Raw genomic sequence first — 27,842 nt, forward strand, 5'->3', positions numbered from 1 at the left:
ATTCTCCTGCCTCAGCCTCCCAAGTAGCTGGGATTACAGGTGCCCGCCACCGTGCCTGGCTAATTTTTGTATTTTTAGTAGAGATGGGGTTTCACCATGCTGGCCAGGCTGGCCTCAAGCTCCTGACCTTGTGATCCACCCACCTCGGCCTCCCAAAGTGCTGTGATTGCAGGCGTGAGCCACCGTGCCCAGCCAGTTAGAGTGATTTTCTAAAAGCCACTTTTGATGCACCTGTAGTCCCAGCTACTTGGGAGGTGGAGGCGGAGGCGGGAGTGCTCTCGGACCAAACTGAGGGTGGGGCTGCTATTTCTCGTGACCTAATAACAAGATGCAGATAAACTGTGGAGGAAGAGAGTTTTTATTTCTGTAACTGTTTACAGGGAAAAGGCCTGGATATTATCACGAAACCAACTCAAAATCACGATGTTTTCCAGAGCTTATATACCTTCTAAGCTATATGTCTACATGTAAGTGTGCATTCATCTAAAGACATAAGTGATTAACTTCTTTTAATCTATAAATAAGGTCTGAATCTTGAAGATCTTCCTCTGGAGCCTCAGTAAATTTACTTAATCTAAATGGGTCCGGCAAGGTGCGGTGGCTCACGCCTGTAATCCCAGCACTTTGGGAGGCCAAGGTGGGTGGATCATGAGGTCAGGAGTTCGAGACCATCCTGGCTAACATGGTGAAACCCCGTCGCTACTAAAAATACAACAAATTAGCCGGGCGTGGTGGTGGGTGCCTGTATTCCCAGCTACTTGAGAGGCTGAGGCAGGAGAATGGCGTGAACCCGGAAGGCAGAGCTTGCAGTGAGCCGAGATTGTGTCACTGCACTCCAGCCTGGGTGACAGAGCGAGACTCCGTCTCAAAAAAAAAAAAAAAAAATCTAAATGAGTCCAGGTGCTGGCGTGATTACCCTTATCTTGTCTCCTGCTAAATCACAGAGGTTTGGGGAGTTCCTTCGGACTCCCAACAAACTTGTTTGTGGAGGCCTGGGGAGTTTCTTCAGACCCACAATAAAACTTGTTTAATCCTAAATGGGTAATGTTAAGACTTCCTTTGTTATTTTGTCATGCTTTAGGGCCCAGGAAAGGCCTAGGCAAAACTCTTGGTGGGCTTTAGTTACATTCCAGCCTTTGTATAAGGGCACTGGCTTTTTTTAGCTTTTAATATTAACTTCACCACTCAGTACTGAAACAGTTGTTATGGAGGCCTCCGTTAGTGAGACGTGGCCTGCCACAGGAGGACTGCTTGAGCCCAGGAGTTAGAATCAAGCCTGGGCAACAGAGCAAGACCCCATACCTTATAAGATGCCTTTTATTTTTAGTTTTTTTATTTTTTCGAGACGGGGTCTCACTGTCGTCCAGGCTGCAGTGCAGTGGTGTGATCATGGCTCACTGCAGCCTCAGCCTTCTGACTAGCTAGGAACACAGGTGGGTGCTCCCACCCCCGGCTAATTAAATTTTTTTTGTTTGTTTGAGACAGGGTCTCATTCTGTGTCACCCAGGCTGGAGTGCAATGGCAGGATCTTGGGCTCACTGAAACCTCTGTCTCCTGGGCTCAAGCAATTGTCGTGCCTCACCCTCCTGAGTAGCTGGGATTACAGGAGCCTGCCACCACGCCCGGCTAATTTTTGTATTTTTAGGAGAGACAGGATTTCACCATGTTGCCCAGGCTGGTCTGGAACTTCTGACCTCAATAATATACCTGCCTTGGCCTCCCAAAGTGCTGGGATTACATACTTGAGCGATGGCACCTGGCCTAAAAAATAATATTTTTAGAGACAAGGGTTTTGCTATGTTGCCCAGGCTAGTCTTAACTCCTGGGCTCAAGTGATTCTTCCCAGTAGCTTGGGATTACAGCCACTGTGCCTGGTAAGGCACTTTTATTTTTCATATCCCCTTAGCCAACTCGAAGTAAAACCATCTCTCAAATGTATCTTGACAAAACCTGGCAGCAAACAAAAAAATCTCAAACTTGTCTGTCATTAAAAGATTGTGGTACCCACGCAACGACACCAACTCAATGCTTAGGGTATGATGTTTTTTTTTTTTACCCATCAGTTTTGAAAAAGTTAATTACATTTGGCAATTCCCCATTCCCTTATAGTGAGGGGTCTCAAGAGCTGGCTCCTACACATAAAGGGCTTAGAACAGTGGCTGGTACCTAGGCCACCAATAGTCTTTTGCCCCACCCAACCGGTGACACAGCCCGGGGCCCCGCCGCCCCCTGGCGGCCATTACGGATTTCCGCCTCCCTCACAGAAGGCAGTCACTGCAACGTGCGTGGCCTCAGTTGCGTCATATCCGGCCCTTGCGATCAGGGCTTGAGGAACCCGCGCCATGAAGTGCGTGTTTGTTACCGTAGGGACCACCAGCTTTGACGACCTCATTGCGTGTGTGTCGGCGCCCGACAGTCTGCAAGTGAGTGAGGGAGGCGAGCAGGCGGCGGCTTGGCTCGCCACCCGCCATCTCCGGCCATACTGCCAGCCGCGTTAGCCTTGCCTGACCGTCGCGCTCGGAAAGAAACCCCCGCAACTCTACCACAGGTGCCGCTGCCCCTTAGCTGGCTTCTGCCCACGCCCGGCGGGGCCCTTCTCCGGCTACCCGGCCACTCGGGGTTGCCTGTTTCCTCTTCCCATTATTCCGGCCGCTCCTCTCCCTCATTTCTTCAGCTCCTTTTCCGGTCTGCCCCCGCGCTCTATTCTCCGCCTCCGCGTCCTCCGCCCCTCCTTCCAACGGCTCCGCCCCTCCGAGCTCGGGTTTTCCACCGGGCTCGGCAGTTTTTCCTCAGGCCCCCCTGTGGACCGCACGTCGGCGCCGGCGTCTGAGCCAGCCGAGCTCGCCTCAGAGCCCGGCTCCTTCCCCTCAGCACTTGGCCGGAGCCCGCGCGGTTCCTCTCCTCAGCGCGCGTCGTCCCCTCAGGGCTCCCGGTTCTCGCAGTTGATCAAGTGAGGCAGAACGGGTAGTGCCTGGGTTCCCCCCGAGTTTGCGACTCCTTTTCCAAAGTCTTTTCCTGCTGTGGCTTTCGCGGGACTCTGCGAGCTGGGTCGCTTAGATTCATGAGTGCTTGGGAGGTTCCTCGTCGGGCCCCGGACCAGAAAATAGTTTTGAAAACTAAGTGAAATCGGCCACAGATAGGCTTTTTGGCGGCCGTGCTCCGATGTTAACGTCAAACTTTAGTAGTGGTGGTGGTTCCTGCTCTGTTTTACATAGCCAGTTTAAAAGGCCCTCACATTCTGATTTCCTCTTTCAGAAAATCGAGAGCCTTGGTTACAACCGACTTATCCTGCAAATTGGTAGAGGAACGGTGGTACCTGAACCCTTCAGTACTGAGTCGTTTACTCTGGATGTTTACAGGTACAAGGATTCCTTGAAAGAAGACATTCAGAAAGCAGATCTTGTTATTAGTCACGCAGGTAAAGGTGCCTAAGAATCTCAGGGTTGGGTCTTTTAATTTTAATTTTTTTTAAGTTCTGGGGTATTCTGGGGGTACATGTGCAGGATGTGCGGGCTTGTTACAAAGGTAAACGTGTGCCATGCATCACCTAGGTATTAAGCCCAGCATCCATTAGCTTTTTATCCTGATGCTCTCCCTCCAATAAGGAACTGACACTTGAACCTTTTCGAGGTAAAATAAAATCGCTAGCTGAACTCACTGTAGCCCTTTTTGAATACACAACTTATTTGAATATGACAATTGAGAACTTTACTGGAGAGAACTTAGTATTTTGGGGTGAGAGAAGAATGGGAAATTAACCACTGTAGTCCACCTTTACAATAAAAAACCCTAAACACAGAGGAGCAAAATAATTTACCCGGGGAAGTGTAATAAATTGTCAACTTGACATTAGTACTTGGGCTTAGATCTAAAGGAGTGTTCTGCCTGCTGATTGGTTGGATTGGTCATGGAGAAATTGGAATTGTAAGATTGTTTACATTTCTGTTGAATGTGAGTGAAATGAATCCAGTCAAAAATAATAACAGCTACATACTGTGTAAATTGTTTCCTCTTCAGAGGACCGCCCTGATGGTCTAGTTAATTAGACTTCTAGTGCATTCAGAAGAACTGCTTTTGGGGAGCAATGCAGTTTTGACTGTTGTGAAGAAAGGTGTTTCGTTTTTTCCTTTCTTTTTTTTTTTTAAAGTCTAGTTTGAGGAGAGAAAAGTCTTTAGAAATAGACATTACCAACAGATTCGTGATTAAAAATGTATCTCCTAGGAGGTAACAGAGCCTTTGGCACTGCTCTGAATGCTTTGTGTATATTAACTTTACTTTTTTAAACAATCCTGTGAACTAAGTACTGTTAGTATCTCCATTTTACACATGAGGAAACTGAGACACAAGAGTGGTTAAGTAATTTGTCCAGCCGGGAAGTGGTGGACAGATAACAATCTGGTGCTGGAGTTTATGTTCTTTTTTTCTTTTCTTTTCCTTTCCTTTCTTTCTATTTTTTTTTTTTTTTTTTTCTGGGACGGAGTTTCACTCTGTCACCCAGGCTGGAATGCAGTGATGCTATCTCGGCTCACTGCAACCTCCACCTCCCGGGTTCAAGCGATTCTCCTGTCTCAGCCTCCCCAGTAGCTGAGATTACAGGTGCACACTACCACGCCCCGGCTAATTTTTTTTTTCTTTGTATTTTAGTAGAGACGGGGTTTCACCGTGTTGCCCAGGCTGGTCTCAAACTCCTGAGCTCAGGCAATCCACCTGCCTCGGCCTCTCAAAGTGCTAGGATTACAGGCATGATCCACTGCACCCCTCCGGAGTTAATGTTGTTAACTAACCACCCTAGCATAAGATACCCAAAAAGGACTTATCTACTCACTTATCAATCTCCTTGCTCTCATTTAAAATAGTTAGATGATTTTACATTTCAAAATTGAATTGATCCTAATATTCTATATTTGCATATTCATGGAGATCTATCCTTGACTATTTCTGGGATAGCACCTCACATGTAAACCCATAAGAAGTGGTCAGGGTTTTTCATTATTGATGCCTGTCTGTCTCTATTGTAGGCTTGCTTTTCTACTTGGGGTTGAATAGAAATGAAGTATAGTTTCACATACAGTATGTCAAACCTGGATCTTATTTGGATTCAAGGCCATGCCCAAAGCATACTCCAGATGGCCCATCGTACAATGGTTTCACTTAGAGTTTTTCAACTTTATGGTGGTGTGAAAGCAATACGCATACACATTCAGTAGAAACCGCTCTTCGAGTACCCATATAACCATTCTGTTTTACACTTGGAGTATTTAATAAATGGCATGAGATAGTCAACACTTTATCATAAAATAGGTTTTGTGTTAGATGATTTTGCCCAACCACAGGCTAATGTAAGTGTGTTCTGAGCATGTTTAAGGTAGGCTAGGCTAAGCTGTGATGTGTGGTGGGTTAGGTGTATTAAATGCATTTTCTATTTAGAATATTTTCAACTGCTTTTTTTTTTCCTTTTTTTTTGAGGTGAGTTCTCACTCTGTCACCCAAGACAGGGTGCAGTGGTGCAATCATAGCTCACTTCAAGCTCCAACTCTTGGGCTCAAGCAGTCCTTCCGCCTCAGGCTCCCCAGTAGCTGGGACCACAACCACCATGCCTTATTGTTTTTGTTTTTATTTTGATTTTTTAGTAGAGACAAGGTCTCTCTATGTTGCAGAGAGTGGTCTTGAACTCCTGGGCTCAAGCGATCCTCCCACCTCAGCCTCCCAAAGCGTTGGGATTGTAGGCATAAGCCACTGCACCTAGCCTGTTTTCAACTTATGATGGGGTTATACCCCGTCACAAGGCTATACCCCATCGTAAGTTGAGGGTCATTGGTACTAGAGAGCAAGTAGCATAGCACTGAATCATAGGCCATAATGTCATCATCAGTGATAAAGTAATGTATTTTTCAAATAAAGTTTCTAGCACTTTTTATTAGAGAGCAACTGATAACTATACTCTTGTCATTTTGAATGTATAATTGAAAGACCTAGTTTGTAGTTCTGTCAACTTAAGTTTTTTAACTTTTGATTTCTAGCTATAAAGCTTCGTGGGGACCTTAACTTATTTCAAATTGTGTTGAACAAATTTGATTTATATTTGTAGGTGCAGGAAGCTGTTTGGAGACTCTGGAAAAAGGAAAGCCACTCGTAGTGGTTATAAACGAAAAGTTGATGAACAATCATCAGCTGGAACTGGCAAAGCAGCTACACAAAGAGGGTCATCTCTTCTATTGTACCTGCAGGTATGCTAGAGACTGATTATTATTATCTCTTGCCTTAATTCGTCCCTTGCACTTCCTCTTATCCACCTACCTAACCCATCTGTCTCTTCTGCCTCTTACCTTCTCCCAGTTACCAAACCTTTTGATTTTCTCAGCTGTAAAATCCTCCCATTTGTTTGTCTCCCATTTTGCAATCTCTGTGTTGTATTTCTATGTGTATCTGTGGCTGTTTCTTTGCATATGTGAATATCTGAGAGAGTGTGTGTATGTGTGTTTATTTAGGCGTGCATGTCTCCAAGACACTAATTTTGGAGTTCTAAATTTTGAGTTCATTATTTAGATTTTCATTATTCAAGGAAGACAATTTGCTCATTTTAGTTAAAAGTTTTGCCTATAGTAAATCCACTAAAATCCCTAAATTATATTTACTCTTTCATTTATTCAGTTACACCCAATATATAAAAGGCACTGTTTTAGGTGCTGTGGATACAGTAGTAAACATGAGATAAAGTCCCTGTTCTTATGGTGCTTACATTCTAGTGGTGGAAAATTGATAATAAGTTCACAAATAAATGATCAAGGTATTTCATGTGGTGAAATGTACTATGAAGAAAGTAAGACAGGGTGATGTGGTAGCTGGGGTGAAGACTGATTAGAATTGTCAGAGAAGGCTTGGCAGAGTACCTAACATTTTGATCTGAGACCCGAAATACAAGGAAGAGCCAGTCATGTGAAGATTTGGAGGCAGAAGGAACAGCAAGTGCAAAAGCCTAAGTAAGGAATGAACTTGGAGCTTGGTGTGTTTGAGGAACAGAGGGAAGATTAGTGTTGCAGGAGCATAGTGAGCAAGGGAATATAATAGAAGATGAAGTTGGGTGGGGGTAGCTTATGTAAGAGTTCTGATTTTATTCATGTTTATTGAGAAGCCATTGAAGTATTTTAAGCAGAGAAATTATGGTAAGGAGTATTATTTTCTACAAGTATATTAGAATTCAACAGGAACTGATCATCGTAATAGAAGGATGAAGAAAATTACTTGTTTGTTTTCTATTAGTTCTTCCTTGAGACACTAGAAGCTTGCCAAAGGGCCAGGTCAGTAATTCCCACTTGTTTGACTTTAAAACCTATCCTAGTTTGATGTTGCAAGAAGTAAATGCCTCATAGAATTACTATATATGTGTATATATATATTTATTTACATTATAGTAAAATGAAATTAATTTTAAAATAAAAAACCTGAGAAGAAACTGGCTGGAGCATAATTTTTCTTTTAGTTTTACTGCTTCTGTCTCTTAGGCACTCAGTAAATACTTATTCATTCATTAAATATTTATTGAGTACCTTCTATGTGCCAGGCATTGTTCTAGGCACTTGGTATACATCAGTGAACAAAACAAAGACTCCTGTTCTTAACTGAGAGGAGGCAGATTCATTGATTATTTCAGGAGTGAAATTGTTGGTGTCCTTATCACTATAATGTTGGAGAAGAGGGAATGTCAGGGTGGCTGTGTAACATAGAAGCCAGTCTTGAACTATTTAGTGAGTCAGGAGAGAAGCTAGATTAAAGAGGAATAAACTTATCTTCCTAACTGCTTTATGCAAGTCAATTTTTTCCAGATACTTTTAATTAGTATTTTCATTCTAAATGTTAAATCAGCTTTGATTTTGTGTTAGTACATTAAAAGGAAAACACTGATTTCATAAACATATCCTGACTTTTTACTCATGCTGAAAAGGAAGGAAACTGTACAAGTCTCCAATTTATTTTATTTTTATTTTTTTACAGTTTTAAATGTCTTTTTTTCTATATTAATTTCAAGAAAGTCACATAAAAGCAGTAAGCAGTGAGAAAGAATCAGTAATTGATTGGTTATATTTTCTTTTCTTTTTTTGAGACGGAGTTTCGCTCTTGTTGCCCAGGCTGGAGTGCAATGGTGCGATCTCGGCTCACCTCAACCTCCACCTCCCAGGTTCAAGCAATTCTCCCGAATAGCTGGGATTACAGGCATGCACCACCATGCCTGGCCTAATTTTGTATATTTAGTAGAGACGGGGTTTCTCCATGTTGGTCAGGCTGATCTCAAACTCCTGACCTTAGGTGATCCGCCTGCCTTGGCCTCCCAAAGTGCTGGGATTACAGGCATGAGCCACCACACCCAGCCAATAATTGGTTATATTTTCATTTTAGGTAAATCATTTATTTTCCCCAGACCTAGGCTGGGGGGTAGTATGTTTGTTCTAATTTAAGCGATTGGTTTAAATAAATTTCCGATGTAATGGTTCTATGTTTAAAACCTTATTTCCAGCATACATGGTGGTGTGGTATATTGTTTAATTGTATATGAAGTTATGATAGTAAATTACTGGCAAAGATTATTTCACAGTCTTCATGCATGGTCTAGTAGTTTCCCCAGCTTATTATCTTGTCTGGCAGCTATTACTTTTGGTTTCAATTTTTAAATTCTGTTTTCATGAATGAATTGTGCTTCAGTTTAAATATGCCCAGTCCTGAGAAGTATTACAAAGCCATGTGAAGACATTTTTCATGAAATATCATTTCTGAAATATATCAGTTGACATAGGAGATAAGGTATCTGCTGAATTTATATTGACATTTTATAGTACTCTTTGTATTGCTTTAATAATCCTAGTATGTATACTTATTAAAATATATAAAAATTCACATGTGCAGTTTTTAGAAGTACCACTATATTCTTGGAAGTTAGATTCAGTCATCAGTGGGCAGCAGATGAAGTATGGAATTTTCTCCCATGTTACCTAATATTTTTCTTCTTTTGTTTTAGCACGCTTCCTGGGCTGTTACAGTCAATGGACTTATCAACACTGAAATGTTATCCTCCTGGCCAGCCAGAAAAATTTTCTGCATTTTTGGATAAAGTTGTTGGATTACAAAAATAAACACTAAACTCTCAACACTTTAAAAGCAACCCCCAAATTCAACCTATGTAATGTGATTAAATCAAATTAAATACATAATATATATTTACAAAATAATATAATTAATAAACTTCCTACATCTATAGAATGTATAGGAAATTTTATGTTGTGCACATTTGCATTGGGTCCAAATCCTAATTGCAGTTTAGTGAAATTACTAGATTTTTTTCTAATCTTCAGTATGTAGTGAGCATTCACAGGTTTTCTCCTAGAATCTCAAGTGGAATTGGAATCATAAAAATGAATGAGATTTGAAAACTTTCACAAAGATTATAAATGTAGTTAGTTTGATACTCCTTAGAATAAAAAAATGAAACAGTAACAACTTTTATGTAAAAAAATTTTACATAAGAGTTAGCATCTTTAGCTTTATAATCTAAGGAACCAAATTTAAAAAATGATGGATTATGCTCTGTGAAATGAAAAGTTCAATCATTGCCTAAAAAAGATGATCAAGTTAGTTGATCTCTTGTACTTGGAAAAGCTACTTTTTTCCTAAAGAACAGAGTGGAGTGGATATATTCACTTTTTTTTTCTAAAACATACAAAGTGATAAAATAATCGTGCCTAATGTCAAAACTTTACTGGTTTGAGAAGAATAATCAAAAAGGACTTATACCAATAGGACTTACTATTGTTTTTTAAGGATCTCCTCTCACAGTGGTAATGAAACATTAACTGTAACAGAAATTTACAATTTATGTGCTTATAAAATTAGTTTTATGAATGAACAATAAACTGATGCATATAATGGCTTAAATATATGGTTTTAAAATTGACTTAACTTGAGCAAGATACATTATGAAGTTCTTTCTGATTAGAGTGTGTGGTCTCAAGACCTTTACAGTAGATTATCCTTAAGTGTCCATAGCTCTCTGGTACAATGTTTAGATATAGTTTATCTATCAAAATAGAACATTCACTATAAAGACCTCTCTTCCATTCCAATCATATTATCCCAACATGCTAAATGTTCCAAACATTTTATTTGGAATGCATTTTATCATGTTTTTATAGGTTTATTTTTCTGATTGTGTTTTATTTAGGCTAATATTAAAAAAATGCTTACTAGTGGTAGAAGGTGGTGACAAAGAAATACTCTGGGTAGCAGGAGGAAGCCAACTTGGATTAAAATTTTGCTGAGAATAATCTAAAAAGTGAGTAATCTGGTTGAGAATTCACAGCACCATAATCATAATTGTATATCAATGTTATGTTTTAGGAAAGGTCCTATTCAAATCCAGGGAGAGAATCTTTAGTGTTTTCTGGGCCCTCATAAATACGTTTTTCTCATTTGAGAAAATTGTGACTTTATGTTGGTCACTTAGTTTTTATAGTTTATGATGAAGAATTAAAGAGAAACAAATGAAAGGCAAGGTCTACTCAAATATCAGACAACTAAAAGGCTATACAGCCCCTAAATCCTTTGCTATCTACTTCCCCAGAATAATGCATAACCTAAATTCCATTATTTCATTTAGCAGAGGTTTAAGCCGTTGTTGTCAATTGTGTGCAGTAACGCCTCTGACTTCCCTTTTGTGGAATTTTGTATCGATTTTGGATTTTTAAGTCAAAGGAGACTTTAAAATCATTTTGATTTGGCACGGATTCTTGAGATTATCTAGTCCAATTCCATCATATTCAGATTTTACCATTTGCTTAAAGTATAGCTTTTGGCAGAACTGCCCCTAGGAGCAGCTCCTTGATTCCCAGTCCCCTGCTCTTTCTACCCTGCATAATATATGTTGTAAGCTTTTTGTTTCTTTATAGTTGTTTGCCTAGTGTTCATTTTAGTTACTCGAATTCCTTGCAAGGTAGGTTTTGTTTGTTTATTTATGGAAGTTATTTAGTAGGAATTTCACACTTAACTGGGTTTTCCTTTGGCGTATGACAACCTTACCTAGGACTTAGAAATCTGTGATTTCTGAGTTTTTGGAATTTAGGAAAATGCTCTGGGTAGGATTGATAGTAGATTGAATAAATTAAGACTTTAAGACAGAATTGTAGACTTTTGGAGTTGGGAGATAATTTAAAGAATATTTTAAACCACCAGTTTTACAGATGAGGAAACATGCTAAATTAATCACCACATTTACATCTTATTAGTCCTTATTAAAGAATGGTAACCAAAAGTCTGTTTGAAATGTTTGCTCTATTTGTTTGGTTTCATTACATGACAGAGCTGCAGGTTCTTGATATTAATGAGTAAGTGGAATGCAGTTTATTTAGCAGTGTTCTATTAGAGGTACTGAAATTTTCAGGGATAAGGAAATGAAAGAGAGTTTAGCATTGGGAAATTTGCACCATGGATAGATTAAGAGGTAGACAGTTAATAGAACATTTACGGGTTGGAGTAGATGAAAAGAGATGTGATGTTTTGGGATGACCTTGGGAATTAAGGATTTTAGATACTTATAATTTGGGAGGAAAGAAAGCTCAAAGGATTTGTTGGTAAGATAGTATAACCAATGAATTTGACATAGGGTTCTGGAACATTTAAAAGTAGTCATTATCTGCAAGTACCATCAAGTATCTGATTTTGGACACCTTAGACCTCTACTTTTTAATTTTAATTTTTTTTTTTTTGTATTTTAGTAGGGACGGGGTTTCACCGTGTTGCCCAGGCTGGTCGTGAACTCCTGAGCTCAGGCAATCCGCCCGCCTCGGCCTCCCAAAGTGCTGGTTTTACAGGCGTGAGCCACTGCACCCGGCTCTACTTTGTATTCTTTTAAAGGCAAGTCATATATAGGCACAAAAGAGTACAAAAAGGTTGTTTGCCACTTTAATATTTAGTTTGAGGAAGTTTTTCAAGACTAAGTAATGACTAGCAGTAATATAAATATTCTTCCTGGCCCTTTATTGTGGTATAAGCACGTAATTCCTCTGATTTGTTCATAAATGTAAAATTTGTGGAGATGACCAAAACACTTCATATAGTCTGAGAAATGACACATGGACAGATCATTTGAAATTAATTTTGGGGAAACATTTGGAAAGGGTCATCATGATAGCCATGTGGTGATCAATTTTCTGCTGTACATGTAATACCATTTATTTATTTATTTATTTATTTATTTTGAGACCAAGTCTCGCTCTGTCACCCAGACTGGAGTGCAATGGCGTGATCTCGGCTCAGTGCAACCTCCACCTCCCAGTTTCAAGTGATTCTCCTGTCTCTGCCTCCCGAGTAGTTGGGATTACAGGCATGTGTCACCCCGTGGGGCTAATTTTTGTATTTTTAGTAGAGACTGGGTTTCACCATGTTGGCCAGGCTAGTCTCAAACTCCTGACCTCAGGTGATCCTCCCACCTTGGCCTCCAAAAGTGCTGGGATTACAGGCGTGAGCCACCACACCCGGCCGTAATACGATATTTTTATTGGGGAGTGGGGAGTGAAAAATAATTTTGGTTAACACTAGTGCTTAGTATGTATCAGGTACTATTCAGAGCACTTTACACATATATACTCATTTAATCTTTAAATATTCCTGTGCAATAATTGGTATTGTCCATTCTACAAATAACATAATGTGAAAAAAGTTGTATTTCATTTTAGGGTCCAAGAGATGTTGTGGAAATTGTAATTTGAACACTGAATTCCAGTATACTTCCATCCTTTATGGGGACAGTAGGAGAGAATATTTGAAATCAGAGGATTTTCCTAAGAAATTTAGATTGTATGTTAGCCACAGGCGTAACGGTATGCTAGCCATAGGTGTATAACCTTTTTGAATTTTTACATTGCTACTTAAAAAACCACAGTGATGGCTACTCATAGAATCCATGTGTAGAATCCATGTGGAGAAACTCTTTCAATTGGTTTACCTGATTGCAAGTTATTTACAAATCTTTTTCTTTTTTCTTAGTTGTATTTTAAAGTTTCATTTTGGTCCTTGCTTTATTTCTTTTCTTGGAATTTTCAGCATTCCCACAGCTTCTACTGTTGACTCCTTTATCTGTATCTCCCAACTCTGATTTGGGCTCCTAAATGATATTTCCAATTGCCTTTGGCCCTGTCTGTCTGTTAATTCTGTAAGCACCTCAAACTCAAGGTGTGCCCCAAACTGAAATCATATTTCTTTTCATTCTTCTGAGGTGCTTATCTTTATTAATGGTATCATCATTTAGTCATTCTTCTAGCCTTTAACTCTGTCTCCAACCCCTTATATCTAATTGGTTTCCAAGCACTCACAGCTTTATTTCCTAAGTACCTCAAGCTTATGTATTCATCATTCAGGCTTTTAATATAAATGCATAATGAGAATCTACCTTTTGTATCAGCAGGATCCAAGACATGATTCCTGCTCTGAAGGACCTATGTCTTACTCATTTTTGAGTCCTTTGCCTGAAACACAGTAGGCTTTCCATAAATGATGAATGCACTTCTGTAACCTAGTACTCTTTTTTGATTGTCTTGATTAGGATTAGGTATTGTTCTAGGAAACACTGTCATCTTGTACACATTTATTTCATACTGACTTTGATTTGACAGCGAAGTATCTAGTAAGTCTCTTGTTCAGAAGATGTGACCATCATATTGTATGGTAAGTTTGTAGGATCAAGCACATATAAGAATAGCATCCCAAATATAACAGTGCTGATTCTATGCAGTATCTTAATGGTATTTAAGGGTCTGTCAAATAATGGTACCTGTCAGGGATTTGTGGCAAAACATGATGTTAAAAATCAGGTATATGAAAAGCACTATAGTGTTTTCTAGTAAAAGCTTACATAGAGAAAGGTTTAGGATATTACCAAACAATTTTTTTTTTCCTTTGAGACAGGGTCTCTCTGTCACCGAGGCTGGAGTGCAGTGGCAAGATATTGGCTCCTCTGCCTCCCCTGGTCAAGTGACCCTCCCACCTCAGCCTCTGGAGTAGCTGGAACCACAGGCATGGGCCACTACACCTGGCTAATTTTTTGTAGAGACGGGGTTTTGCCATGTTGCGCAGGCTGGTCTTGAACTCCTGGGCTCAAGTGATCTGCCTGCCTCAGCCTCCCAAAGTGCTGGGATTACAGGCGTGAGCCACTGTGCCCAGTCATCAAATGATATTTAATTACTTATTAAGTGGCTAATGGCTAATTCCCTACGTGAATGCTCTATTTATTATACAGTTTTTAATTCTTTTTTTTTTTTTTTTTTTTTTGGTAGGCGGCTAAACAAAAGGTAGACAAATCTGGCTAGGTTCAAACAGGAATGTAGAATACATGATGCTATTTATTTTTTTTTTTTTTAACGGAGTCTCGCTCTGTTGCCCAGGCTGGAGTGCAGTGGCATTATCTCCGCTCACTGCAACCTCCGCTTCCCAGGTTCAAGTGATTCACCCTCCTGAGTAGCTGGGATTACAGGTATCCACCACTACATCTGGCTAATTTTTGTATTTTTAGTAGAGACGGGGTTTTGCCATGTTGGCCAGGCTGGTCTTAAACTCCTGGCCTCAAGCGATCCACCCACCTCGGCCTCCTAAAGTGCTGGGATTACAGGCATGAGGCACTGTGCCCGGCCAGAATACATGCTTCTTAATGTTGATACTGATTCTTGAAAAATATTTTGACAGGCTTTTAATACCATTATATACCATCTATGTTGGTATTTCTATATCTTCATTGTCTTATAAATTTTTTACCATATTCTGGCCAAAATTACTTATTTTGATTGACACTTGTATCATAGCTTTGAACATGATTTTATTTTGGTGGCTGCAGTCCTGTTCTCTGAGGCAGTGGTTCTTAAGCTTCTTTCAGCCATGGAACTCTTTAATTTAAAACTGTGGCTTTTCTTCTCTATATACATGATTTTGCAGTGACTTTCAGAAAGTTTGCAGGACCTCATGGCCCCGGGTTAAGAATCCCTAGGCTGAGGCGAACTTCAGTAACTTCATTTCTTGGTCATTGTTTATTACTATTTTGGTCTTAATTCCTAGACTCATTTGTAATTAAACCCTTTTGATTAATTACATTTAAATTTAGTAATTCCCAGTTTTTATTTTTATTTCTATTTTTATTTATTTATTTTTTTTTTGAGACAAAGTCTCGCTCTGTCGCCCAGGCTGGAGTGCAGTGGCGCGGTCTCTGCTCACTGCAAGCTCCGCCTCTCGGGTTCACGCCATTCTTCTGCCTCAGCCTCCGGAGTAGCTGGGACTACAGGCGCCCACCACCATGCCCAGCTAATTTTTTTTGTATTTTTGGTAGAGACAGGGTTTCACCATGTTAGCCAGGATGGTCTCGATCTCCTGACCTCGTGATCCACCCGCCTCAGCCTCCCAAAGTGCTGGGATTACAGGCATGAGCCACCACTCCCGGCCAGTAATTCCCAGTTTTTATAATGTAACACAAATTCAATACTTTTTTTGTTTAAAGCATACTAGCCAATACATTTTTGAAACTAACCTTAATATTCTTATGCTATTAACTCAGTATCTGTAACCCATAATGTCATATAGTGTCTTTTCTAATAGATAATAAGGACTAAATGGAATTTTTTATTTGTAGTAATTATTTTAGAATATCCTATAATAGACTGGTGAAGAAATCCAGTAAGGCAATACAATATGGTGTTTACTCATGGTTAAGTGTGCTACTAAAGTACTTGGTTGCAGGACCCTGATAGTCACTGTTGGAATGATGTCTATGAGACGCATATAGTACATCTTTTTGAATGATCATTTCTCCTTTTGTGCAGCATTACATACTGGTCAATTCTCCACTGCCAGTGTGAAGTGAGGGGATAATACACTCCCCATATTTAGTAATGAAAAACATTCCTAAGTCCTTAGCCTAAATTAGTAGTTTTCTGGATCTCAGTTTTCCTGTTTGTGAATTAATAAAACTAACTTCTCGGGTGATTTCTAAGACATAAACCTAGTTGTGTGGCATGTTTTAAAAATTAAAAATGCTGTTGAAATAACACATTTTCTCTTGGTTAGTTTTTGTTTTGAGAAGTAGGACTAAGATCTATTTTTAGAATTCACAGAATATAGTCCTAAATGATACGGAAAGCAGATTTTTCATTGAATTTCATGTTTAAACTCATACTCAGTTTCTAATTGGGGTTATAGTTAGATAATTTAAGTTTATTTAGAAGTTTAATTGAATGAGTCTTTCCAGTGCTTCAAATGTTCTGGGTTTTTTCCCTCCTTCTGCTAATCCTGTCTCTAGACTGATCAGACACTGCAGGTATCTTAAGTCAAAAAACAACCTTCTGCTGGGCGCGGGGGCTCATGCCTGTAATCCCAGCACTTTGGGAGGCCAAGGCAGGTGGTTCAGCTGAGGTCGGGAGCTTGAGACCAGCCTGACCAGCATGGAGAAACCCCGTCTCTACTAAAAATACAAAACTAGCCCGGCTTGGTGGCACATGCCTGTAATCCCAGTCGCTCAGGAGGCTGAGGCAGGATAATTGCTTGAACCTGGGAGGCAGAGGTTGCAGTGAGCCAAGATTGCGCCATTGCACTCCAGTCTGGGCAACAAGAGCGAAACTCTGTTTAAAAAAAAAAAAAAAACAAACCCTCAGTGTTTGTGTGCCAGTGTGGTATATTTTAAAGCAAAGTAATATTTTCCTTTAAAAAAAAATCTGTATTGTCATGCTATCAGGTGGAAATGGGGAAGAGAAGAAAATGAAAGCAAGTGGTTCTTGATAATATTTTATTTTGCAATTCCGAAGAAGGATTACTTCTTTGGGAAATCCATTCTTTGTCTTGCCTTTATTTCTCCTTCCTAAAACTTGAGGAGGAGGTTGAACAGGGCTGCCAGGCCATGCTTTGTTTTAGAACCATTGTGTTCCCTTCCTTCATAAATCTTGCTTTGCTAATTCTGCTTGAATGTTCACCCTGAAAAGTTGATAGGCTCTAGTTCCAGGGTGCTGTTAAAATACATTTTTAAAACACATTACCATTATATTTTCAGTAATGAAAGACCCTAAAAAGAGGTTCTGTAGAGTTATTTCCCTTAATTTGCTTCATGTTATTTGGTACTAAAAATAATTGAAGTAAGTTATTTAGGGCTAATTTTTAAAATACTGGCTTTTCAGTAGGTTCTGTTACAAGTTGTTATATGTTAATACATGGGTTTGTTATCTTTAAAAATCTAGGTCTGTTTATGTGGTAATGTCAGATTTATTCATTTTTATGTGGGCCAGTCATCCCCACTTTTTGCCAAGATAATAGGCTAACACCCAAAAGCTATTTTTAATATTGATCACAAATTTGACCACTTAAAGGAAGGTGTTATCAATATTTTAATATTGATTACAAATTTTACCACCTAAAGTCTGTTATCCACTGTTGAATCACAGAGTAATTCCCTACATTTGGAAGAGTGCTTAGAGATTATGCAGCCCATCTACTTATTTTACAGATGAGGAAACTGAGACTTAAAGTGGTACAGCCAAGTTCATAACATTCTTTTCATGATACCATATTGCCTCTCAGAAACTAATAACTCATAGCATTTTGTCATACACATTTACAACTATACCTTGTATGTCACAGGTAATGTATGCTTTAAAAAAATAATTCCGGACATACCTCATTTAATTGGTTGAAACGTGAAGTGTTATTTTAGAATTAAAATCATTAGTATTTATATGTCACACTACAGTTTCCTTGTTTATCAGTGAAGAAATAAATATAGCAATTAAAAGGGCAAATTACGTATTCTAGCTAAATTTCAGTATAAAAAGTAGTCATTGCAAAATTAAAGCCCATCAGTTTCATGACAAGTAAACTATGTTATTTAAAGTTACTTTAATGTTTTTTCAACTTATTTTAATCTGTACCCAGAGATACAGTGCTTAAAACTTAAAATGTCTTTTTTAAGACATTTTCTTTCCATTATACTTAGATGTCAAAGGGAATAATTCCATTAGGGATGGGGAAACAGGATATGGACCCATATTAGAACTTTGATTTCCAGTAGAATTTCAGTGAAATTGCTCTGGTTCTTACCTTTTTTTTTTTTTTTTTTTTTGGACCAAAGAATGATTGCTTGCTGAATGTTTTGTCAGGTAGCAGCTAACAGCCATCCATATTTAAGCACGAACGTGCTAAACACTGAATATACAGTGTCTTTTGTATTATTCTAACAACCTTAGGTTTAAGTCACAAAAATTTCTAGAGCAGTGTTTCTCAAACTTTGAAACATTAATAGGTGATCTATGGAGGGAAGAAGGTGTTTGATAAAGGCTAGGTCAAAAATGTGAAGCATTTACTATAAGCATTCCTTAGGACCTTTAATGTTGCTAATGGGCACTGTGAATCTCAAGGATAGGATTATAATATGCAAAGTTTGCTGAAATTTTGGCCTTGAAATTCTCTTTTTAGGAATATGTTGTTCTAGAGCAGTGGTTTTCAAAGTGTATTCCCTGGACCAGCATCATCATCACCTGGGAACTTGTTAGAAATGCAAATTCTTGGGATTCATCCCAGACCTGCCTCAGAATCCCTTGGGCAAGAGGCAATCTTTTAACAAGCCCTCCACTTGAGAACCACTGTTCTGGAAGTTTTTCAGGACTAAAGTAGTTTGCTGTGGAGAAAGCCAATTGGGATTTCAAGTGCGATATTTCAAAGGACAGTATTAAATACCTTGAAGTGGCTTTTTATTATATGCAAGACAAAGTCTAGAATCGACCCACAGTTCTCTTTAAAATATCCTATTGTACTAATCTGCAGAATGGAACCTCTGCTTTACCACTTCTGGGCTTTTGTTCATGTTTTTTCTGCCTTGGTATGTAATTCCTCTTTATGGTAATTGTGCAAACATCAGGAGATTTTATATAGTTTTAGTTTCAGTACTGTTACTGATTGGATGTGAAAACTTAGGTAGGTCTTAAAACTATTTCAGACCTGTTTCTTCATCTGTAAAGTAAGAGATCCCTTGGAGCTGTAAAATTCCAATTACTTGTTTTCCCAGTTTATGATGCTATTGTTTCTTGCTCACTAATGATAAAATGTTTAAATTTGCTTTCTAAAATTAAGGTAATACATGTGAATAGTTAAAAATGTTAATTGATTATACAAGGCTTACAACAAGAAACAGCAGTTGTATGTCCTATTCCTCCGCATCTCTGTTCCTGCTTCTTATAGATGACCGTATTACTTTATGTTTTATAAATAATATGCTTAAACTGGTTTTGTTTTGTTTTTTAAATTTGAATATCATTGTAACCTTCCTACATGGAAGAGGAGACTTTTCAAAAATTAATGTTTTTAATTTACACGTCACAATTGTATATGCATTTATAGGGTACAATGTAATGTTTTGCTATTTGTGTACAATGTGGAATGATTATGTCAAGCTAATTAACATATTCACCTCACTTACCTATCATTTTTTATGGTGAGAAATTTGAAATTCTTATTTTGAAGTACACAATATATTATTATTGACTGTAGCGACTCTGCTGTACAAAAGATCCCAGAACTTATGTCCTCTGTCTGTCTGAAGCTTTGTACCCTTTGATCAACAACTCCCATTTTCTCTTTTCCCACTCACCCCCCAGCTTCTGGTAACCATCATTCTAACTCTCTACTTCTATGAGTTCAACTTATTTAGATTCCGCATGTAAATCATGCCCTCTTTGTCTTTCTGTGCCTGGCTTATTTCACTTAGCATATAACGTCCTCTAGGTTCATCTATGTTGTCACAAATGACAGAATTTCGTTTTTCTAAACACTGAATAGCATTCCATTTTGTATATGTACCACATTTTCTTTATCCATTCATCCACTGATGGACACTTAGGTTGTTTCCTTATCTTGGGTACTGTGAATAATTCTGTAATGAACACGGGAGTGCAGGTATCCCCTGACATACTGATTTTATTTCCTTTGGATATATACCCAGAAGTAGAATTACTAGATCATATGGTAGTTCTATTTAATTTTTTGAGGAACTTCCATACTGTTTTCTATAATGGCTGTACTAATTTACATTCCCACCAACAACGTACAACAGTTTTCTTTTCTCTGCATCCTTGCCAACACTTGTTATCTTTCATCATTTTAAATAAAAACCATTCTAACAGTTGTGAGGTGATAATCTCATGTTTTGATTTGCATTTCTCTAATGATTAGTGATGCTGAGCATTTTTTCATGTACTTGTTTGCCATTTTTATGTCGTCTTTTGAGAAATGTTCGTTTAGTTCCTTTGCTCATTTTTAAATTGGGTTGTTTTCTTGCTTGTTGAGTTGTTTGATTTCCTTACAGGTTTTTTTTTTCGAGTTATTTGATTTCCTTACATATTTGGATATTAACCCCTTATCAGATGTATAGTTTACAGATATTTTCTCAATTTCTGTGAGTTGTCTCTTCACTTTGTTAATAGTTTCCTTTGCTGTGCAGCAGCTTTTTAGTTTGGTGCCATACCATTTGTCTATTTTTGCTTTTGTTACCTGTGCTTACAGGGTCATATTCAAAGAATCATTGCCCAAAGAAGTGTGGAGCTTTTCCCCTATGTTTTCTTCTAGTAGTTTTGCAGTTTCAGGTTTTATATTTAAGTTTTCAATCCATTTTGAGTTGATTTTTTAATATGATGTAAGGTAAGGATCCAACTTCATTCTTCTGCCCGTGGATAGTCAGTTTTCCCAACCCCATTTATTGACAAGACTGTCTTTTCCCCATTGTGCATTCTTAATACCTTTGTTGAAAATTGACCATAAATGTTTAGGTTTCTTTCTGGGCTTTCTATCCTGTTCCTTTTTTTGATGTGTCTGTTTTTATACCAGCATGATGCTGTTTTGATTATGCTCACTTTATATATGATTTGAAGTTAGGGAGTGAGATGCTGCCAGCTTTGTTCTTTTTACTGAAGATTATTTTGTCTATTTGGGATCTTCCGTGGTTCTATATAAATTTAAGGATTTTTTTTTTTCTATTTCGGCAAAAATGTCATTGGAATTTTGATAGAGATTGCATTGAATCTGTGGATCACTTTGGTAGTGTGGACATTTTCACAATATTCTTCCAATCCATAAACATGGGATATTGTTCCGTTTATTTGTGGGTTTTTTTTTTTTTTTTCAGTTTTTTTCATGAGTGTTTTATAGTTTTCAGTGTTATATCAGTCTTTTACCTCATTGGTTACATTTATACCTAAGTATTTGTTGCTATTGCTATTGTAAATGGGATTGTTGTCTTAATTTTCTCTTTGGATAATGTAGAAACACTACTGATTTTTTATATGTTGATTTTGTATCCTTCAACTTTACTCATTTTTTTAATCAGTTCTAACCATTTTTTGGTGTAGTTTTTAGGTTTTTCTATATGTAAGAGCATGTTATCAGCAAATAAAGATAATTTCATTTCTTCCTTTTCTAGTAGGATGTGTTTTCTTTCTCTTGCCTAATTGCTCTGGCTACGATTTGTATGTTGAATAGAAGTGGTGAGAGGGGGCATCCTTGTCTTGTCCCTGATCTCAGAGGAAAAGCTTTCGATTTTTCACTCTTGAAAATGGTCATAGCTATGGGTTTATCATATGTGGTGTTTATTGTACTGATATACATTTCCTGTATACCTAATCTGTTGAGAGGTGTTTTTTTTTGTTTTTTTTTGTTTTTTTTTGAGATGGAGTCTCACCCTGTCATCCAGGCTGGAGTGCAATGGCGTGATCTCGGCTCACTGCAATCTCCGCCTCCCAGGTTCAAACGATTCACCTGCCTCAGCCTGCTGAGTAGCTGGGATTACAGGCGCCCGCCACCATGCCCAGCTAATTTTTGTATTTTTTTTTTTTTTTTTTTTTAGTAGAGATGCGGTTTCACTATGTTGGCCAGGCTGGTATTGAACTCCTGACCTCGTGATCTGCCCGCCTTGGCCTCCCAAAGTGCTGGGATTACAGGTGTGAGCCACCGTGCCCGGCCAAGAGTGTTTTTGTTTGTTTGTTTTTTCATTATGAAGGGGTGTTGAATCTTGTCAGATGCTTTCTCTGCATCTATTTAAATGATCATGATTTTTATTCATTCTGTTAATGTGGTGTATCACATTTGTTGATTTGTGTATATTGAACCTTCCTTGCAGCCCCAGGATAAATCCCACTTGAGCATGGGGAATGAGTCTTGTAATGTGTTGTGGAATATAGCTTGCTAGGGTTTTGTTGACGACTTGCATTTATGTTCATCAGGGATATTGGTCTGTAAATTTCTATTTTTGTAGTGTCCTTGTCTGGCTTTGGTATCAGGGTAATGCTGGTCTTGTAAAATGAGTTTAGAAATATTCCTTCTTTTTCAGTTTTTTGAAAGAGCTTAAGAAGGATTGGTACTGGTTCTTTAAATGTTTGGTAGAATTCAGCAGTGAAGCCATGGGGTCTTGGACTTTGGTGGGAGACTTTTATTATTGATTCAATCTCCTTCCTCATTATTGGTCTGTTCAGATTTTCTATTTCTTCATGATTTAGTCTTGGTAGGTTGTATGTGTCTAGGAACTCATCCATTTCTTCTAGACTATCCAATTTGTTGGCGTATAATTGTTTATAGTAGTTTCTTGTGATCCTTTGTATTTCTGTGATAACAGTTGTAATGTCTCCTATTCCATTTCTGATTTGAGTCTTTTTCTCCTAGTCTAGCTAAGGGTAGGTCAATTTTGTTTATCTTTTCAAGGAACTAACTCTTAGTTTCGTTTATTATTTTTCTATCATTTTTCTAGTCTCTTTCATTTATTTATGCTCTGATCTTTGTTTCCTTCCTTCTGCTAACTTTAGGTTGTTCTTTTTCTAGTTCCTTGAAGTATGTTAGATTATTTGAGATCTTTCTTCCTTTTTAGTGTAGGCATTTACCACTATAAATTTCCCTCTTAGAACTGTTTTTGTTACATCCTGTAAGTTTTTGTATGTTGTGTTTCCATTTTCATTTGTCTCAAGGGTTTTTTTTAATTTCCTTTTTGATTTATTCTGTGACACATTGACTTGTTCAGAAGCATTTTGTCTAATTCCCACATATTTGTGTGTTTTTCAAGATTCTTTCTGTTACTGATTTATAGTTTCATGCCATTGTGATCTGAAAAGATGCTTGATATGATTTCAATTTCCTTAAATTTGTTAAGACTTGTTTTTTAGCCTAACAATGTGATCTATCCTGGAGAATGGTCCATGTGTGCATAGCAAGAATGTGTATTCTGTTGCTGTTGGATTGAATATTCTGTATATGTCTGTTAGGTCCATTTGGTGTAAAGTATAATTCAAGTCTAATGTTTCCTAATTGATTTTCTGTCTAGGTTATCTGTCCATTGTTGAAAGAGGGGTAATGAGATCCCAAAGAGGAGACTTTTTCTTTTTTCTCTTCCCCATTTTCCTTCCTATCCTCCTAATTTAGTTTTATCAGTTCTGTGAGATTCATTTTCAATGTTGACATTATTATGACTGCTTAACTACGGTATTATTCACATCTGAGCCATGTAGTGTTCAATGATTTTATTTCCTTTCCTGTAAAACTTTGTTTTATCTCATTTTGTTATTTCATCATTTTCCCACTTTTTGATAGTAACATCTCCAAACTTTCCAACAGAAGTGTACATCTCTCATTATATTCAAACACATCGGGTTATCTAAACCTTTATTATCTTTTTTGAGATATCCACACTGGAGTTCTCTGTCCTATTTTTGGAAATGCTTATTTTCTAGTCCTTCTGAGTGTCTATCTTCCTGCGATTTCCCCTTCATCCTTATCCTGTAATTTCTCTTTGCTTTTCTCTTGTGTTGAATCTCCTATTTCCAAGATTGCTCCCTTCCACCCCCAGACTTTAAAAAAAAAATTCTTTATTTTGGTTTCACATATCTTCAGTAGCTTTTCTGAGAAAGGGTGGCAACATTTTTGAATCTTTTTTTTTTTCTAAAAACACCTTGTTTTACTCTTTCATTTGATAGCTTGCAATAGAAATAAAGGTTGGAAATAACTTCCCCTCTAATCTAGAGCTTCATTGTTTTCCGAATCCTAGTTTTTCTTTTGAGAAGTATATTGTGTTCTTATTTGTGTTCTTTTGTGTATAAACTGTTCTTCTTCTGTGAAAGCTTTAGGATCTTCTCTTTATCCCCTGACTTCAGAAACTTTATTGTTATGTCCAGGGATGATCTTTTTTGCTTTCATTGTTGTGGCTGCTTCATGGGCCCTTTCAGTCTCAATATGGATACTCATGTTCTACAGTGCTAGAATTTTTTTATATTGTCATCATCATCATCATCATCATCATCATCATTATCATTTCTTTCCCTCTGCTTTCCTCATTTCACTTCGGGCTTCCTGTTGGTTAGATGTTGGCTTTCCTAGATTAATAATCTAATTTTCTTATTTTTTCTTCCCAATATTGTTGACTATTCTGTGAGCTCCTCAACTCTGTTATTTCTTCTGCTTTTTTGTTTTACTTAACTGTTAAATTTAAATACAGTAAAATTGGCCTGTTTTCTTATATAGTTCTATAATTTTGACAAACGCGTAATCATGTAACCACTACCACAGTCGAGATGCAGAACAGTTCCAGTGCCCCCATTTATCCTTTCTCTTTGTAGTCAGCCCTTCAACCCTAACTACTGGCAAAAACTAATCTGTTTTCCTTTCCTATAGTTTGGCCTTTTTCAATGTCATATAAATGCAGGCATACAGTGTGTAGCCTTTTGACTCATGTCTTTTTTTGCTTCGCATGTTACATTTGAGATACGTGTTCTTTTATGTATCAATATTTCATTATTTTCTATTCCTAGGAAGTATTCTATTGTTTGAATGTACCACAGTTTTTGTCCATTCACCAGCTGAAAAATGTTTAGATTGTTTCCAGTTTTGAGAGCTCATGATTATGGATAAAGCTACTATAAACATTCACATAGAGGTTTTGGTGTTACCATTTCTCTTATGTAGTTACCTAGAAGTGGGATTGCTTGATCATATGGTAATTCTGTTCAATTTTATAAGAAACTGTTAAACTATTTTCCACAGTGGTTGTACTATTTTACATTCCCACTAGCAACGTATGAGAGTTCCAGTTCTATATCCTTTTCAACACTTGGTATTGTCAGTTAAAAAAATTATTTTAGTTAGTATGCAGTAGTATCTCATTAAAGACACACAAATGGCCAATAAGCAGATGAAAAGATGCTCAATATCATTAGCCACTGGGGAAATGCAAATCAAAACCACAGTGAGATACCACTTCACACCCACCAGGTTTACTATAATCAAAAGATGGAAAATAACAAGTGTTGATAAGAATCTAGAGAAAATGGAACCCTCATACACTATTGGTAAGAATGTAAAATGGTGCAGTTGCTCTGAAAAACAGTTCCTAACATTAGGTTAAATAGAGTTACCATATGATCCAGTAACTCCACTCCTAGGTATATACCTAAGATAATTGAAAACATAAGTCTAAACAAAAACTTGCATGTGAATATTTATGGAAATATTATTCATAATAGCCCAAAAGTGGAAACAACCCAAATTTCTATCAACTAATGAATGGATAAACAAATTTTGGTTTATGCAGGGGATTGAACTATGTAGTGATGCACCATGCTCCAACATGGGTGGACTTTGAAAACCTTATGCTAAGTAAAAGAAGCGAGTGACACAAGACCACATACTTTATGATCCCATTTGTTTGAAATGTTCAGAATATGGAAATCTATAGATTCAGGAAGTAGATTAGTGGTTGTCTGGGGTTGGTGGGGATAGAGGGATTAGAGGTTGACAGCTACAGGATGCAGAGTTTTATTTTGGGATAAAGAGAATGTTCTAAAGTTGATTATGGTGATGGATGCACAACTCTATACAACAAACCATTGAATTGTATACTTTAAGTGGGTGAATTATATGGTATGTGACATATCTGAAAGCTGTTAAATTTACCAGTTTTAAGAGTACAATTTAATTTTTAGTGAATATACAGAATTGTGCACATATCACCACAAAATAGTTTTAGAAGATTTTTATTATTCCAGAAAGATTCTTTGTGCTTATTTGTAGTCAATGCCTATTTCCACTCCAGCCCCGGGCAACCACTTCATCTGCTTTCTGTCTCTAGATTTACCCTTTTGGCATATTTCATATAAATGGAATCATATTCCTTTTGAAATCATACAGTTTTTGCTTCCATCTTCTTAGGACCAGTTTCTCCAATCCTTGTTAATGCTTGTTACTGTCTGTATTGTTTATTACAGCTATCCTGGTAGGTATGTAATGATGTCTTATTGTGGTTCTAATTTTCATTTTCCTAAAGATCAATGATTTTGAATATCTTTTTATGTGCTCATTAGTCATTCTTATATCTTTGGTGAAATGTGTATTCAAATCTTTTGTCTATTTAAGAAATTGGATTTTTTTTATTGTTGACTTTTCAGAGTTCTTTATATATTTTGGTACAAAGTTTTTCTGGTTAGATATGTGATGTAAAAATATTTTATTCCAGTCTATGGCTTGTATTTTCATTCTCCTAACAATGTCATTTGCAGAGCAAAAGTTTTTAATTTTGATAAAATCGAGTTAATTTTTTTTTCTATTATGTATCTGAGAACTCACTGCCTAACCCAGGATCTTAAAGATTTTCTCCTATGTTTTATTTTTTAAAATTTTGAAGTTTTATTTTACATTTATACCACTTTGAGTTAATTATAGTACAAGGTGTGAGGTATAGGTTGAGGATCCTTTTTTTTGCATGTGGATGGTCAATTGTTCTGGCACCACTTGATGAAAATGCTATCTTTTTTCTATTCAACTGATTTTGCACCTTTGTCAAAAATCAATGGACCATATTTGTGTGGATCTACTTCTGTGTGCTTCCCTGTGTGTTAACTTTTCTCTTGCTCTGTCTCCTTTTGTCTTCCTGTCCCTACTTGTGTTTTTTTTTCAGTTTTCTATTACTTTTCTGATTCTCTCCCTCCTTCTCCTGATTTTCCCTTCCCCCATTCCCTTCCTCAAAATGAAGCATTTAGATTGCATTGTTTTATATATCATACTTATTTTTAGTTTAAAAAGCAGATGTGAAGCATTTGTGTTTTTCTTTACAAGTACAATATGCTGGAAACAAATTAACTTTTAAATTATAATCCCTTTTTTTTTTTTTGAGACGGAGTCTCGCTCTGTTGCCCAGGCTGGAGTGCAGTGGTGTGATCTCGGCTCATGCCATTCTCCTGCCTCAGCCTCCCAAGTAGCTGGGACTACAGGCGCCCACCACCACGCCCAGCTAATTTTTTGTATTTTTAGTAGAGATGGGGTTTCACCGTGTTAGGCAGGATAGTCTCGATCTCCTGACCTCGTGATCTGCCTGCCTTGGCCTCCCAAAGGGCTGGGATCACAGGCGTGAGCCATTGTGCCTGACCAAATTATAACCCTTAATTAATTTTTCTCAGTGAATTAGTGACCTTAACGAAAGATGGCAATCTCTCTTCCCAAACTGTGTGTTTCAGAACTTCTGCAAAAGGCATCACTTCTCCAGTGTTACAGTTTCTTTAAAAAAGAAATTAGTGGCTGGACATGGTGGCTCATGCCTCTAATTCCAGCACATTGTGAAGCTGAGGTGGGAGGATAGCTTTAACCCAGGAGTTCGAGACCAGCTGGGCAATGTGGCAAGACCCCATCTCTACAGAAAATAGAAAAATTAGCTGGGTGTGGTGGTGGCATGCACCTGTGGTCTTAGCTACTTGGGAGGCTGAGGCAGGAGGATTGTTTGAGCCCAGGAGGTTGAGGCTGCAGTCAGCTGTGTTCACACC

General features: G+C 37.8%; 1 protein-coding gene across 44 annotated transcripts in view, besides 4 other annotated features; it reads left to right on the plus strand.

The window, feature by feature from the left end:
* Positions 1,962 to 2,681: an enhancer, noted in NCBI's record as "NANOG-H3K27ac-H3K4me1 hESC enhancer chrX:110924066-110924785 (GRCh37/hg19 assembly coordinates)". NCBI's record gives its function as "activates a minimal SCP1, AML or CMV promoter by ChIP-STARR-seq in naive and primed H9 embryonic stem cells {active_cell/tissue: H9 hESC(naive and primed)}" and the evidence as "EXISTENCE:reporter gene assay evidence [ECO:0000049][PMID:30033119]".
* Positions 2,294 to 27,842, plus strand: part of ALG13 (ALG13 UDP-N-acetylglucosaminyltransferase subunit) — a 79,480-nt gene continuing 53,931 nt past the window's right edge. For 17 of the 44 annotated variants that reach the window (NR_148693.2, XM_011531028.3, XM_011531030.3 and 14 more), the window contains exons 1-3: positions 2,294 to 2,423; positions 3,256 to 3,418; positions 6,089 to 6,227. Coding sequence is in view for 37 of the 44 variants with exons in the window: in XM_011531028.3 (XP_011529330.1) it covers positions 2,343 to 2,423; positions 3,256 to 3,418; positions 6,089 to 6,227 (383 nt within the window). In the remaining 7 variants the exon portion in view is untranslated. Of the gene's footprint in view, positions 2,549 to 2,780; positions 2,951 to 3,255; positions 3,425 to 6,088; positions 6,228 to 7,260; positions 7,299 to 9,010; positions 11,297 to 27,842 lie in introns of those variants that run through there. The other 27 variants (XM_011531031.2, NM_001257237.2, NM_001324293.1 and 24 more) reach the window with 21 other exon arrangements.
* Positions 2,361 to 2,550: an enhancer, noted in NCBI's record as "active region_29858". NCBI's record gives its function as "activates an Ori minimal core promoter by ATAC-STARR-seq in GM12878 lymphoblastoid cells {active_cell/tissue: GM12878}" and the evidence as "EXISTENCE:reporter gene assay evidence [ECO:0000049][PMID:35858748]".
* Positions 2,621 to 2,670: an enhancer, noted in NCBI's record as "active region_29859". NCBI's record gives its function as "activates an Ori minimal core promoter by ATAC-STARR-seq in GM12878 lymphoblastoid cells {active_cell/tissue: GM12878}" and the evidence as "EXISTENCE:reporter gene assay evidence [ECO:0000049][PMID:35858748]".
* Positions 2,691 to 2,750: an enhancer, noted in NCBI's record as "active region_29860". NCBI's record gives its function as "activates an Ori minimal core promoter by ATAC-STARR-seq in GM12878 lymphoblastoid cells {active_cell/tissue: GM12878}" and the evidence as "EXISTENCE:reporter gene assay evidence [ECO:0000049][PMID:35858748]".

The sequence above is a fragment of the Homo sapiens genome, chromosome X (genome assembly GCF_000001405.40).
Source record: "Homo sapiens chromosome X, GRCh38.p14 Primary Assembly".
NCBI classification, from domain to species: Eukaryota; Metazoa; Chordata; class Mammalia; order Primates; family Hominidae; genus Homo; species Homo sapiens.